At 58.2% G+C, this 15,329-nt stretch overlaps 2 annotated features.

Annotated features, from left to right (window-relative positions):
* Positions 2,573-3,471: an enhancer, noted in NCBI's record as "H3K27ac-H3K4me1 hESC enhancer chr7:1281290-1282188 (GRCh37/hg19 assembly coordinates)". NCBI's record gives its function as "activates a minimal SCP1, AML or CMV promoter by ChIP-STARR-seq in naive H9 embryonic stem cells {active_cell/tissue: H9 hESC(naive)}" and the evidence as "EXISTENCE:reporter gene assay evidence [ECO:0000049][PMID:30033119]".
* Positions 9,688-10,233: an enhancer, noted in NCBI's record as "H3K27ac-H3K4me1 hESC enhancer chr7:1288405-1288950 (GRCh37/hg19 assembly coordinates)". NCBI's record gives its function as "activates a minimal SCP1, AML or CMV promoter by ChIP-STARR-seq in naive H9 embryonic stem cells {active_cell/tissue: H9 hESC(naive)}" and the evidence as "EXISTENCE:reporter gene assay evidence [ECO:0000049][PMID:30033119]".

The following is a 15,329-nucleotide window of genomic DNA, read 5'->3' on the forward strand; positions in this document are numbered from 1 at the left end:
TCCTTCCTTCAATTTGCAGCTGTTCATTTCGGTGGCGGCTGCACCGAGTTGGGGGGAGGCCTCATGTTTAATGGATTTGCAGTTTGAATGCTGGAGTATCGCTGGCTGCACACCCGTGTCCTTAAGGTGAAATTACTGATTTACTTAAACAGTTTAGCTTTTTTTTCTGAAAGCCCAAAAGCAGCAGGCTGTGTGATTCTAGACAAACTATCAATCGATCTGGTCGAGCCAGCCTCCAGGAGATGTATCCTTCATGAATCATACTTTATGAATTCAATTTCTACCAGGAGAAATTTTCAATTTGAACGCCGGATCATTATGGGAGAGTGTAAATTGTTTTTGCTCTATTATGCATCCGACGCCATCATTTTTCTTTCTAATTACGGAGGTGTCAGGTCGAGCTGTCATGCAGGCGCTGATTTTCAATTTAACTGATCATCATACATTCATTTTCCCATTTGATAAATCTGCTATCTAGACGGCTCGCCATGCCTAGAATATTAAGAGCCGAGCTGCAGAAAGGCCCCGTAATGGGGGGATGTGTATGCACCAATAAGTGCAGATCAGGCAGTTAATTTAGCGCCTCCTGATTCCCCATCTCCATTTCTCATCTCCAATTCTCCAAGGAGAGAGAAGCAGCCCAAAGGCTACAGCCGCTCCTCTCTCCAGCCGAGGAGGAGAGGCAGAGAGAGGGGGAGCAGGAGAGAGGCCGGGAGAGGGAGAGGAGGAGGGGGAGAGAGGAAAAAACACCCTCCAAAACGCTTGTTTTCTATTACACAACTTCCAAATTAGGATATCAAGCTTAATTAATGCTAATTGAGTTCTTCAGTACGTGTTATTTTTATTTAATAGAAACAAATTTGCACAATTAATTATCGACGTAATTTCAAGAGCTTCATTTGCAAGGCGAGCTCTTCTGAATCAACCACCCCGAGTCACCTAATGATTTTTTAATTTTGCAAAAGAAAAAAAAAAAGGATTTCCCCCCCATGCTTGGGTGTGGGGTGCTGTCGTTTTGGGGTGGCAGAGGGGAATAAATAGGGGTCGGTAGGGGGGCAGCAGAGGGATATAGCGAGGCCTCCTGGGCAATGGGAACCACTGTGGTTGTTCTTGGGTCATTTGGTCCCAGAACGGGTTAGGAACCGAGGCCGCGGTGAGGGCGGCCTTCCACTGCGGCTCCCTCCGCGTCCGATGCCAGGAGAGGGTGGGAGTGGAGGACGCGGCCCCCTGCTTCGCTAGGTAGGGGTTCCTGGCTGTTCTAGGCGGCTGCTCTTCTCTGCTAGGTGGTGCCTCTGGGCGGGGAGCAGGGGCCTCCTCCACAACGCGGCCAGGGTCTAGGAGTGCGGGGCAGGAGGTCCCCCTGGGCTGGCCAGGGTCTAGGAGTGCGGGGCAGGAGGTCCCCCTGGGCTGTCGGGTTTGATTGCTTCACGGGCCCAGGTTGTCTAATAAATGGCCAGGCCCTGGCGGGCGCCTTGGCCACAACACCAAGCTTCTGAACACTGCTGTTTGCTAGTCAATCGGTTAGATGCAGACTGGTTTAATTTTGTTGATAAATCGGTTCGTTGGGGGTGGGGACGGGGCGGGGGCTGTGGGGAGTGGGGAGTGAGGAGAGAAGGGTGTTGTTTCTTTGCTGATTTATTTTTAACCCGAGGTTGTACAAGCCCCTGACAGTTTGGATAAATTAGCCAGGCCTCGCAGTCTCCTAATGAGAGGGTATTATTTCGGCACCTCGGAAGGAGCGTGAAAAATGAGAGAGACTCCATCCGGAGGTGTCGGATCGATTCAGGATCAGGGTGTAAATTATATACAACTAAATATCCAGCCGCCCATACCGCTGCTTAATACGGAGCTTAGAAATGCAACATTAAACAAAGATTATGAGAGATCGACGCCTCTGGACCGAGCCCAATTCACTGCTCAGCCGGGTCAGCCCCTGCCCCGCGGGCCGAGGATGGGGAGGGGGCGCGCAAGGAGTGAAAACGGCGAGTTTGGGATGAGAGCCAGGGCCAGGAGGGGAGCCTCGCCCTCGCTACTCCTTCCCTTTCTTCTAAAGCCAGGGAGCTCCCCGCCCAGCATTGCCCGTTCCTTCCTCCCCGCCAGGGCCCAGAGAAATCCGGGCTCCAGCACCGGGCCTCAGTTTCCCGGAAGCGGACTTGGGCCCCGATCCCGGGCCCTCTCCGCCCTTCCCAGGTCTCAGGCGTCGCTGCGTGGAGGAGGCGCGCGTGGCTCCCGGCGCCGATGTCCCGGCCCGGAACCCTGCCCGCCGCTGCGACTCCGGGGCGGGGGTGGGTCAGCCTCGGGGGCGGCCGGGGTGGGCGTGGAGGTGGACGCGGGGCCGCATATTGGGCGCTTGGTTCTGTTTATCTCACTTAGCGGTGGAGGGACTGGAGGGAAGGGGCGGCCCGAAGGGAGGCCTTGGTGGGGCCCAGCGGCTCCCTGGCGCACCCCGGACACGGTGGCCACGAGGAGCCGGGGCTGTGGCCGAGGGCTGCCCGCACCCCGAGACCCTTCCTCGTGGGCCCCTCTGCCCGGGGCGCCGCCCAGAGGGGGCCCGGACGGAACCCCCCGCGCGGGGAACCACCGGGCCGGGCAGAGCTGGCGTGAGTATGGAGGGGGCGCGTGGGGACAGAAACCCCGAGCTGGGAGGAGCGGGGCGCGGGGCTGGCCAGTCTGCGGCTCTCTGGGCCCCGCTGGGCGTCCTCCCTTCCTCCCGGCCGCTCTCTCCTTGCCTTTCCGGGGTCTCCCCGCGCCCGGCGCCCCTCGCCCAGCCGTGACTCCCTTTCCTCTCGGCCGCCCGACTCCGCGCGCCCCTCTCGGCTTTTCCGAGCTGGGATCACCCTCCCCGAGAGAGGAGCGGGCCATTGCCGCGTGTGGGTGTTGCAGAAATGAAAAATCAGTGCAGTTACATCGTAAAATTTGGATTAAGAAGCTTGAATTTAATACACACGCACCACATTTATTAAAGCATTAGAATAATTGAAATTTGCTGCTGCCGCCGTCCAATCTGTTTAAATAATTCTATATGGGTGTCTTGTTGTGATAAAAGATTATCTAGAATTCTATTAAAGGCGCAGGAGCCTGCTTTGTAAATCCTATTTGGGGACTTTCAATAACTATCGATAATCTCATCTGCACAGAACCCCCCGCCTCTCCGCGTTATCGGAAAGTTTGCAGCGTTTCCCGAGCAGCGCGGGCAAGGCCGGACCTGCGGTGGAGCCGGCACCTGCCGCTCCGCCCGGGATTAGGGAGCTCCCGGCTTGTGGGGGGTGCGGGCGGCCGGTGGTCCAGCTCGCCCGCCCCGGCCGAGACGCTGGGCCCGGCCCCCACAGGCTGCGCCTGACGGGACCGGCGGGAGGCCTTTGTTCGCAGCCCGGAGGCCCCAGGCTCCAAACCACACTCGGGCTGCGGGGAGCGAGCGCGGGCGTTGCCGCTAATTGCTGCTAATTTTGTTCCATTAACTTTATTTACTCTTGAACCCCTTAATTGTTTTCCACTTATTTTTAGTAATTTTATAATGCACTAATAACCACCCCCCCCCCAGCCTGCGGACGCCTCCCGCCTCCTCCTCCCCGCTCCCTCCTCGCTTCCCCTCCCTGAGCGCGACCTCCCAGGCTTCCCAGCCACTGGCCGCGGGCTCCGCGTGGCGCTGGCCTCCGGGCACACAGAGAAGCCGCGGGGTGAGCGAGAGCTCGGCCTGGGGCCACGGGTGCCGGTGGGTCCCCCCGGGATTCCGCGGGGAGGGCAGCTGGCTAGGACCAGGACCAGTGTCTCCGCGCCGGAGGCCAGAGGGTTTCTGCTTGCAGGCGTTCCTGCAGTAGGAGGGCGCGCAGAGGCCCAGAGAGGGGAAGGGACTTGCCTAAGATCACACAGCGTCCCAGAGGCCTTACTGGGCAGGGGAGGGGGTGGCCCGGCCGGGCCCTCGCGCGCCGGCTTCTGCTGATTCTTTCTGCGGCCTGATAATAAGAGTCCCGGGGCCGGTCTGCAGAGCCGCCCAGCTCAGGGCTCGGCCGGGCGAGGGCTCCAACTCCCCAAGCTCAGCCCCTTCCCTGGGGAGCTCCTGTCCCCGCGGCCCCCGGCCACGGCCCCCAGGAACCAGCCCCGCGCCTCACCGGTTATTAGACAGCTCGCGAGGACTGTCTGCGAGCCGCCTCTTTCCTGCTAATTATCACTTTATGAAAAGTGTTTCATTAAGAAACTCTGCTTTTGATTAATTATCGACAGAATGCTGACCAGAAAGAAATGAAATTAATCTCTGACCCCGTCTGGGTAACACTGGAAATTCATCACATATCCTTTTAATATTGAAACACAGCGCAGAATTTTAATAGAAAATATTGTTTTTCCAAACCTCCAGTCTTTATTAATGCCCCTGGGCAGGGAATGATATTGCTGGCGATATAGCAGTCTTTGTTCATTTTAAATTTATTAAACATAATGCACTTCATTTTCAAACATTTTACTGTTTCTTTTTAATTTCACTCAGTGTAAGTACAGAATAAAACCTTTTTAAACATTTAAGATATTGAAAACCCATATACGGATATATAACGGAAACGCTCCGGCCATCAAATAAATTTAAGTAGAAGCAATTGTAATTTTAAGCTCCCAAGTATTATCCCCTTCAGACATTAAGGCAGTATCAGTAACCATCAAATGAGAGTGTGTGGAGGAGAGGTTGGGCGGCCCCCGCCCCGGGAGACCTCGCCAGAAAGACCCACCAGGGAGGGTGGGGCTGGCAGCCCCTGGGACCTCTCCTGGCGGCGGGGGCGGGCACTGGCCCCCTCCCTTCCCTTGGCCCCAGCAAAGTCTGTCTATGAAGCCAGAGTGATTGCATAAGATGCCCCCACGTCTCCGGCTCTGTTCACCTGGTCCAGGAGGGACTCAATCCCCCAGGGCACCCCCCCAGAGGGACACAGGGGCTTTCCGGGATCGAAAGGTGTTTCTTCCCTTTCTAAGTCACGTCAGGCCACCTCCGACCCCAGCCGACACGCTACCAGGCCTGCACCATAGAAGTGGGCTCTGAGAGTGTTCCCAAGCCCTGGGGGAGGGGGACTCCCCAGAGATCGTGTCCCCGACCCCTCCTTCCGGGCCCACTGCTGCCATCCCAAACCCAGCCCCCCAGCGTAACTCGCACCCTCATCCCCTTTCCCGAGGAATCCAAACTCCGGTTTAATGAGTCGTGAAGTGTGAGAACTTCCGGAGCCCGCAGCGCCCCTGATGCCAATTCCAGATGTGTGAGTTGGGAGGGGCGGGCCTCCCGGCCCGTGAGCACCCAGCCGCTGCCTTCAGAGCGAAGCATCCAGCACCCAGGTTCCAGCGATCGGGGGCCTGAATTGGAAACAGGCAACTTCTCCACTGAGAAATTACTCTTTTTATTTCTTGCAGTGTTCCTGGTGCCCTATTTCACGGCACCAACAAAAGGAATATTACTTTTAAAACACTATGAAATACCAGGTCCTGTCCTCGGAGCTATTTCGGGGGAATTCAATTTTCGCTGAATGGTGAGAAGCTCCAGCATTTCTTTTGGGGGCTGATGGGTGGCTCAGTGGGAGGAAGAAGAAAATTTTCAGGGATTGTCTTGGCATTCCAGAGAGGCCTGGGGGTGTCTGGGCCACACACTGGCACCCCTGCACCCACCCGCACTCACACAGACACCTGCACACTCTGTGAATGGGTCTTAGATGGGACCAGACACCACGCACGGCACTTTGCAACCGCTGGCCCTTGTGCCATTAGCACTCTATTACCCTGGGCTCAAAGTCTGGCCTAGGCGAGTGACTGTCTACAAGGTTATCTGTTATCTATCATCCGTCTACCAGCAGGACCTGCCCATCCCCTGCCCATCCCCCACGGCCCCCCTTGGCGTCCTAATGTTTGGGAGAACAGTTACTCTGAGCTGATAGGAAAAAAAAAAGTTTGTCTTCCCGTCCTCCCTTCCCTCCCATCTTGTCCCTCTTAGCAAATGTTCCATCCTCAGACCTCATGGGGGACAACTTTGTTTCCAGTGCTGCAGTCGGGCCTGGGAAAAAACAGAATGGGAAAAAACAGAAGACTTTTTGTTGTCGTTGTTGTTACTATTGTTGTGGAAAATTGGAGGCCCTTGGTTGGAGCTGAGATCACTGTCCCCTCTTGCTTCTAACCAGAGCAGTAGACTATTGAGAACAGGCAGCTGGGACCAATGGAAGCACCTTTCAGCACCTCCCTGAAACGCCAGGGCCTCCAGTCCCCAAGTCCTGGAGAGATCAGTCAGGCTTCTTGGAAACTTAGCTGGTGGTTCCATCCTGGTCCTGCAGCCCCGGGCCTGGGCTCCCCAGCTCAGGTGCTGGGAGGCCTGTGGAATCCCCCTTAGTCTGGAGTGGGGGCTACCGGGGTACATGTGGGAGAGATGAGGCTTCTGCTTATCCCCACAGACAAGAAAGAAGCTAGCATACAGTAACTTGGAAATACTATCAGACTCCCCAGTGCCCCTCCTAACACAGTCTTTCTTCCAAGTCCTTCCCTGCGTCCATGCTTCCTCCATCCTTGAAGGTGGAGAAACCGGGTGCAGCCAGGAAGGGCCGCTGGGCAGTTTAGAGGGCCACACCCAGGAGCAAGCCTCTGTCTCACCCAGGCATGGCCAGGGAGGAGCCCCAGAGGGACCAGAAAAGAAACAGCCAAGGGGCATGATCTGTGAATTTAATTTTTCCACTTAAACTAAAGACAAAACAGGCCCAGACTGCGGCTGGCGGTGCCCGTGCGGCAGCGTTCCCAGCTGCCTTCAGTACCTTCTCAGCCTCCTGGCTGCAGCTGGCTAAACCCACGGTGGAAGGTCTCCCTACAGTGTCCATAGTTCACGCCTGCTCTGATCAGGAGATCTGAGACCAGGACAGGGAGAACCCTCACCACTGACCCTACCCAGGTTCCCCAGGCCCCGGCCCTGCAAATACCCACTCTCTCCACTTTCCCGTAAACTACTGCTTACTAGAGTTTAGAGTTAGGACTCTCTGTCTCTCAAAAAAAGGAAATATAACAAAGTGATTTAAAGATAATTAATTGCATTAAACTATTGACTAACTACCTCGCTCAATAGTAATTCATTTAGAGAATATTAAAATCGGAAGAACAATAATAAAATTGATGCCAATTCCCACGGGGAGGGAGATGGCCAGCAAATTGGATACTTTTCTTAATCTGGCGTAAATAATAACACGCCTGCTTCCTTCTCTCTCAGGCCAATTCCCCTATCATTTATTCCAGACTCTAAAGCTGGGCTTCATAATTGATATCAGTTACTCAATGAGTGCTTTTTCATTTGTTCTTGTTATCCGTGATAATTGCGAAGTTCAGCCTCTCGGAATTGGGCCGGCCTGGTGCCTCCAGCGCCGGGCAGGGCGGGCAGAGGCCGGGCTGGGAGGCGGAGGCTCCGCTGCTCCCCTTTTTTCCCGTTGGAGGCGATGTGTCGGGTCCGGACACGACGTGGAGAGGCCACCAGTCCGGTCCTGGGGCGGCGGCGGCCTACAGGGCCGGGTCTTCCTTCTGCAGATGCCGGTTCGAGCCGCGGCCCGATCCCGATCCCGGGAAGAAACGCTCCGTGGCTCGCCCAGGGTTAAGAGCCGCGGTGACAACCCGTTTTTGTTTGAGAAGCGGTGGGTGGAAGCCACGAATCCCACACGACATCTGGGGACCAAACGCCCAGAGTCTGGAGGATGATTTGGGAGAGGAAGGAAGATGGGGTCAGGGTAGGGACACGGCTGGGAAACGGCCCCTCCCGGCGCCTCCCCGACCCCAGGGCAGGGCCCGGGACCACACAGACCCCCGCAGGCCGGCGGCCGGAGCCCTGGCAGCCGGGCCGCCCCGAGATGACGATTTCGTTATTTATTCACTTATTTATTCATTTATAAAGTGTTTACTTAGCTCGGTGCAGATGTAACATCTCATTTACAGCGTGGCCTCCGGGCATAGAAACAATTGGCAACAAAAGAGTAACTCCGGAGAATTAGAGAAAAAACCCACGCAACAACAACACGAGTCGGGGGCGGGGTGAGCGCTCCGGAGAGGCGCTGGTGGGGCGGCGGGGCGGGGGGTGCTCCGAGCCGAGCAGCCCGACGGACGCACCCAGGCCAGGGCTGCGGAGACCCCCGGGCCCGCGTGGGAGCAGCGCGCGGTCCCTCCCCAGGAGGCGGTGGAGGCCGAAGGGAGTCGCCGGGTACCCGGCTCAGGCCGTGTCTGAGCGCCAGGGATGCGCAGAAATGGGAGCCTGGCCGCGCCTCTGCAGCGGCCTTGGAGGAGCCTCTGGAGCGGGCCCCGCGGGCGCGTGGGGTGGGACCTGCTGGAGACCCGCAGGCGGCGGCGGCCAAGCAGGGTCAGGCGGTTGGCACCACAGGTCGCGCCCTCGGCTGCAGTCGGGGCAGCTCCAGGGGGCCGCGTACCTCCCGCTTCACGGCTACGCGTGGGGGCGGCTCCGTCCTGGCCTCACCAGCCTCCCCGGAGCCCCTGCCGGTCCCCAGCCTGGGGGCTCAGGGGTCCCGTTGGGCGTGTGTCCCGCCCGGGCCCCGGTGTGGGGGGCGCGCAGTCCTCAGGGCCGCCTCCCTCCCGCCCCCAGCACAGCGCCCCCCAGCTCTCAGCCGGTCCTTGCGGCCGCGGGATCCCAGCCCCAGCAGCGGGAAACTGAGGCCCGCAGCACCGATGCGCGTAAGGCAGCTCGGATGGGGTCAGAGGGGCGGGAAGGCGGAAGGCGGGCCGCACCCCCCGGACCCTCAGGACCTGGAGCGCGTGGAGGGCGTGGACCACCCCGGATCCCCCACCACCGGGCGTGTCTGCCAAGGGTGTCATTGGGCGCCGCGCAGAAGGGGCTTCCGAGGACCCGCCCCTCCCCCGCAGCCGTCAGGGCGCTGACGGAGGCAGCTGCGCCTGTTTAACTGGGAGCCGGTTGCTTGGCAACCCGAGGCGGCTCATTACCGCGGCCACAGTGATTAACCAAAAAAGAAAAAAAAAAAAAAAAGGAAAAAAAAAAGAGAGAAAAATACAAGGAAGAAAAAAATAGGGGAAAAGCGGGAATATGAAAGTAAAATGGATTATTTAATTAGCTAATTGATAATCAACTTCTTTTTAATTATTCACTTAATTAAAAAAGTGTAACTACAACACTGCCCTCATCAAGCTGCGGTTGCACCAGCAGGGTTTCAAAGCCGCCTCTCCCTCCCCTTCCTCCGCCTGCCCCTGGGCCGCTTGGGGCTGGAGCAACCTTCCTCGTCCCCAGCCATGTCCCCCACCCTTAGGAGGGACTATTGAAAACATATTCTTCCCCAACAGCCGGGACAGCTCCACCCACTGGTGTCCAGGGACCTTCCCGGAGGGGCCTGGGCACTCTGCCCTCCGCCTCTGCCTCAGTTTCCCCATTTCCAGGACCTGATTTCGGTGCTGAGGTGCGTGTAGGCAGGGCAGTTTGGGTCCCCGCCTTTGTGGAACTGGTGTTCTGTGCAGAAGGCGGGCGGGCAGTTGTCCCCTGGAAAACAGGAAAGGAGAGGATAGTGTTTGGGCCTCGGCGCCAGCTGTGAGCACAGCGGGTGGGCATTCCTCACGCAGGCAGCCTTGCGGAGCAGGGAGGTCCAGCACAAGGGTGTGTTCCAAAGGCTCCACTGGTGGCCGGGTTTTGAGTGGGATGAGAAGCTGGAGGATGCTGGGGCTGGGGGGCGTGGCGATACCGTGGTGTCACTCCATCTCCCTGTGGGGCAGGTGCTTGTGGGGCTGAGGGGAGCTGCCTCTCCTAGCACTGTGCTCCCGCTCTGGGCCACCCACATCCAACGCCCGCCTCCCTGCAGGTGCGAGGCCGGCCTGGGCCTCTGGCTGGGCCAGCTCTGAGGGAGCTTTCCGTGGGATGGCTGGGCCTCTGTTGCAGTTGCGACCAATGCTGCGGTTTAAATTCTCCCTGGGTCCAATCCTGCTTCCCTCCCCTAAGCCTCTCGCACACACACCTCGGCTCAGGCTATTCACCGGGAAAGCCACGCGGAGGCAGGGCAGGCAGCGCCCCGCCAGAGACCCCCGGATGGTGGAGATGGTGCGGTGGAGTCGGGACTGCTGGGGGCACCTGCTGATGAGGTGGGAGGGTAAAGCCACGGGGGATGCGGGTTTCTGGACTTGTTCGGGTGGGCGGGGCGGGAGGGGGGTGGGGATGTGGTGGAGGATTTGGGCTGGGAGGGGGGTGGGGTGACCTGGCATTGCTCTCAGCACAGTCCCGGTGGTCCCCTTCTCCTTCCTTGGCCTCCCCTCTTCCTTCATCCCCCCGCCCCCGGGTTCCTCCCAGTCCCAGATTGTACTTTCCCCTATATCTTCCTTCCCACGCTCTCCACGGCCCTGACCCTGGGCCAAGCCCCCTTAGGCTCCTTTTAACCTCTGAAAAGTCAACAGTAGCTTCGTCACCGGGGAGTGCTGGGGTTTTTTCCTTAGAGGGGAAGGAAAGGGGGGGCTGGTGACTCCCCCCTCCCCAACCCGCCCCACCTCCCCACCCCCCCACCCCCCCCACCAGCCATTGGCCTGGACCTGTCCCTTCCCTCTCGGGGTATGAGGGCCTGTGATCACGGGGGTGGGAGGGCTGCTGCTGGCACTGGAAAGCACCCACCGGGACCCCTGCACCCAGGCACGGAGACACTGCAGACCCTGGCAGGGTCCGGGACAGGCCCAGGGCTGGAGGGAGGGGTTCGAGACAGGCCACCCTTCCTGGGGCAGCCCCCCTCCGCTTCCTCCCACAGCTCTATTTAGGGCAGACAGGCCAAAGAGAGCCACGGAGGCGTGTTGGACAGCCTAGCAGCGGCCATGAACCCTGGCACGTTTATCTGCTGGAGCAGTGGAGCCCGGCCTCCCAGGGAGTGAGGCTGGAACCAGAGCCTGGGGGGAGGGACGGAGGGAGGCAGCGCGGCAGCCTTAGGGTCTGGACCGGGCTGAGAGGGGCCTCGCCCTCTTCCTGCCTTCGTCTCTGGTAGGCCATGGCCACATGGGGAGTCCCTAGGAGCCCCAAAGAGCAGCCCCTTGCTGATGTGACATCAACTCCGTGGCAGGGGTGAGGGGACAGATGTGACATCAACTCCGTGGCAGGGGTGAGGGGGCAGGGCTGGGCGGCTCAGGTGTTTTGCTTTGCTTTGCTTTTTTTCTTTTCTGCACGTCTGGGTCATCATCACCAAACCCTTTCCTCTATATCTGTGGTGAGTCTGAAAGTGAATTCCAGTAAATTCCAGCTATCAAAGCTGTTCCATAAGAATATCTTAGCCAAGTCTTATTTGGTCTTCAGGGTGGTTCATTGGGCTGGCGTGGGGGTCACTGTGCCCAGTGCCCAGCAGGGCAGGTGGCAGATTAGAGGTGAGAGGAGCTCAGGGCACAGTCTTTTTTGGAGACAGAATCTTGCTCTTGTTGCCCAGGCTGGAGTGCGATGGTGTATGGATCTCGGAGATCTGCAACCTCCATCTCCCAGGTTCAAGCGATTCTCCTGCCTCAGCCTCCCGAGTAGCTGGGATTACAGGTGCCCACCACCACGCCTGGCTAATTTTTGTGTTTTTAGTAGAGATGGGGTTTCGCCATGTTGGCCAGGCTAGTCTCGAACTCCTGGACTCAAGTGATCCACCCACCTCAGCCTCCCAAAGTGCTGAGATTACAGGCACGAGCCACTGTACCTGGCCGGGGCACAGTCTTTTCGCTGACAGAATGCTCCCCTCATCTATCCCTGGGGAGCTGTCTGGAAGGGCGGGGAGTGGAGCAGTGGTTGGGAAGTGGGGGCTTGCTGGGCAGGACCCTTCATTTCTGCAGGGAGCAACTGCGGGTTCCTACAGATCACCCAGGCTTCCTTGATCTCATCAGCAGCCAGGAGGAAGCAGGAGAAATTCAGGGTTGGACTTCTTGCCCCCCTGACTTCACTTCACTCTGGCCAGACTTCTTGTAGGTAGTTTTGGGGACCTGCATTATGAGTCATACTGGCTGCTAGGTGCCCCACTCTGAATGCTGAGGGGGTGCAGCTGGTCATGGGGTCACCAGGATGTCAGAAGCGTGGCCGAGGGGGCCGCCAGCAGGAGAAGCTGCTGGGGCCTGAGTTCCTTCGGCTTAACCTTGCAGGCCCATGTGGGGCGGTGACGGGGGTGGAGGGAGATACATACGTTAGGGGCTGAACTGTGTCCCCCTAAATTCCCATGTTGGGGTCCTCACCCCCAGGACCTCGGAATGTGCCTGTATTTTGGGATGGGGCCTTTAAAGAGATGATTCGGATAAAACGAGCTCATTGGGGTGGGCTCTGATCTAATAGGGCTGGGGCCCATATAAAGAAAGGAGACGAGGATGCAGACGGGTGAAGGAAAGAACCAGTGAGGGCTCAGGGAGAAGACGCTGTCCGCCAGCCCAGGAGAGAGGCCCCAGGAGAGGCCAGCCCTGCCCACACCTGGATCTCGGCCTTCCAGCCCCCAGGACCATGCAAAGTCAATCTCTGCTGTTTAAGCTGTCCCGTCTGTGTGTGTGTGTTACGGTGGCCCTGGAAAAGTAAGAAGACACGGATTGCAGGAAGGGACAGGCCTGCCACAGGTGAGGTGCCCAGCTACTGGCCCCTTTTTGAATGGGCACCTGGGTGCTGGGACCTAGGGCCCCCACTTTGGGATGGGGGTTCTTGCATCCCAGGCTCTGGTGTCCTCACTGGGGAAGCTGGTCCCTTGGCTTCTCCAAGGTTTGGAGGCCACTGTTTCCCTGAAATACGAAGGTCAGGGTGACCTTTAGCCTCTCTCCCAGGTCAAGCAGCCCAGGACAGTGGGAGGGGTCCCTTGCAGCCCTGTCCGGCAGTGATGGCTGTCCGCCCCCAGCTCCCCTAGGCACGAGGAGGGGGCCCTGGACTTCTCTCAAACCCCAGGCTCTGAGCTGGGACTGAGGGCCAGGGCTGCTTGGTGACATAGAGCCCCCCTGGCAGGCAGGGGCAAAGGTGTGGCACGGCCCTGGCCTCGGTTCCTGAGGAGGGGGCTGGCACGTGGGGTGGCAGGATGTTCCCGCGTCTAGCTGCAGATTTATGTCAATATGGATTATGGAATTTGGTTCCAGTTTTCCCTTCCCTTTCCCCTCCCCTGCCCCGGAACATCGTGGGTATTAGAGCCCTTTGGTTGGTGGATTTCTGCAGCCTGTCAACGAGTGGTGCTTAATTCTCGGCAAATGTCTACTTATCTCACTGTGCAGTGGGCTTAGGCCTCTGAAAGGGACTGCCTGGCTCAGGCTGGGAGGCGGTGGGAGGGAAGGGGGCGGCTGCGCAGGCGGGGGTGGGGCCGTGGCCACAGAGAAGCGAGGGTGGGGCTGTGGGCACGTGACCCACACTTGTGGCCTCTGGGCTCCGTGTCCACACAGCTGTTGCAGCCGGGCTGGCCTCTCCTGCGCGGTGTGACTCCAGGCAGACCCCTTTGTCTTTCTAGGGCTCGGTTCTCCTGTCTGAGTGTGGGTGGCCGTGGGGATGAGGCTGGTGGCTCAAGCGTGAATCCGCACCTTCACCAGGAGGCTAGGCTGTCACCCAGAGCTCACCCCCCTGTCACCTGTGGGCAGAATTCTGTCCCAAGCCCACCTTTAGTTCAGAAAGATGCAGGTGACAGGCATGTGCGAAGCTAAACTCAGGCAAGATTCTGGTCACCCAAGTGGAGCCAAGCCTCCCACCCCCTCCCCCAGGGCAGGGAAAGGAGCAGGTGGGGCAGGGACAAGAAGCAGGTGGCCGGCCTTGCACGCCGGGAAGACCGGCTCCGACATCTTAGAGAGCACTTCCCGCAGGTCTGGGCCTAGGCGGGCTTCCTCAGGGCCCCGCAGAGCTAACGGGGGCCACCGATCATTCAGAGGGGCTTTAGTTCAATGAGCCACGTAGAGGAGGGCGGGGCGGCCTGGCCAGGGATGCCATCAGCTCTGATCTCAGGACTCTGTGAGCTCGCTTGGCCTAGGCAGGACCCAGGCCCCATTCTGCAGAAGTAGGAGCTTCCTGGCCCCCCACTCCTCATCTTCACAGGGGCCTGGGGGTCCCCAAGGTGGGGTGGCCCCTGGCCCTTGGCTCCTGTCTCTCCCTGCCTTCGAACCCCTCCTCCCTGGTTTCAGAGCCACAAAAACCACAAAAGTAGTTCTAAAAAAATTACCCCTTCATTTCATCACTAATCCCGTAACTCCCTTAATTAAGTCAATGGTAGCCTAAATTGTTCTAAACATCTTTTGGGGGATTAAATATTTTAATCATCATTATCCAATGAATATTTGATTATATAGCCAGCATATAGTGAAGAATAAAAATTATAATCCAAAAAAAGGCATTTAATAACACTTTAAACGACCAGGCGTTTGATAAAGGGCATTAGGGGATTAGGTGCTGGATTGAAAGACTGGACTGAGCTTCCCAGTCAAGGACTCGAGCTATCATTTTATTTAAAAAAATAAGACCATGATTTAAAGAAAAGGAAAACAAAAACCCAAGCTGCCGCGTCTTCTCCCGTGCCAGCCCCCTTGCCTGGGTAACAAGGTGTCATATTTGAACGGCTGTTTTGAAATGACTCCTATAAATATCATTGGGTTTGGGGTTTCCGCTGAGTTTCGGGGGAGCCCTTGAGTTGGCTGATGAGGTGCAGGGTCTCCGGGTTAGTTTGGATCGTGAGGGTGCCACGGTGAGGCCCAACACACCCATCTCTGGGACGAGGATGCTGAAGTCTGGGGAGAGCCTGGACTCTTGTGGGTCACCCCTGGTTTGCTGTGCTGATCTGGAGCCTGGACCTCCCCCTCTCCAGCTTGGGCCCCTTCTGTGACCTCAGGTGACCGTCCCAGGTGACCGCCCCCAGCCCTGCCTGCCCCATGCAGTCTGGCGTCTGATGCCACTCACGCCATCCCAGACATGACTGCCCGTCTCCCTGCCTAGCACCCACCATCCCGGAAACAGGGGGCCCCAGAGGTACGGCCCCGCCCCACCCGCACACCTCCCATGTTGCATCTGTGGCAGGCGAGGCTGCGCCGCGGGGCCCCTCTATTGGTGTCTGCTGAAATCATTTGAGACAAAGTTACAGCACAGGCATTAGAGCCACTTTTCAGAGTGAAACATCTGTCATTTAGCTCGATGACGCTACGGGGATGGCGCTTTAGAACAATCTTGTTGCATTTAATTTATTTTCTTCCGGATACTGCAGAGAAAAGGACAACTTCCTAGGTGCTCAGTGTGGACAAATTCCGCTCCTGTGGGGGGAGGAAACCCCCACCCAGAGGCAGGACGTGGCCTCCGTCCCCAGCGGCCCTCCCCACCCACCGCCAGCAGATTGATTTATTCCCCTGCAGGCTGCCGGGGGGCCACCGTGGGAACGCGGCGGACCACCTTCTCAATGCCC

This window comes from Homo sapiens, chromosome 7 (assembly GCF_000001405.40).
Source record: "Homo sapiens chromosome 7, GRCh38.p14 Primary Assembly".
Lineage (NCBI taxonomy): Eukaryota > Metazoa > Chordata > Mammalia > Primates > Hominidae > Homo > Homo sapiens.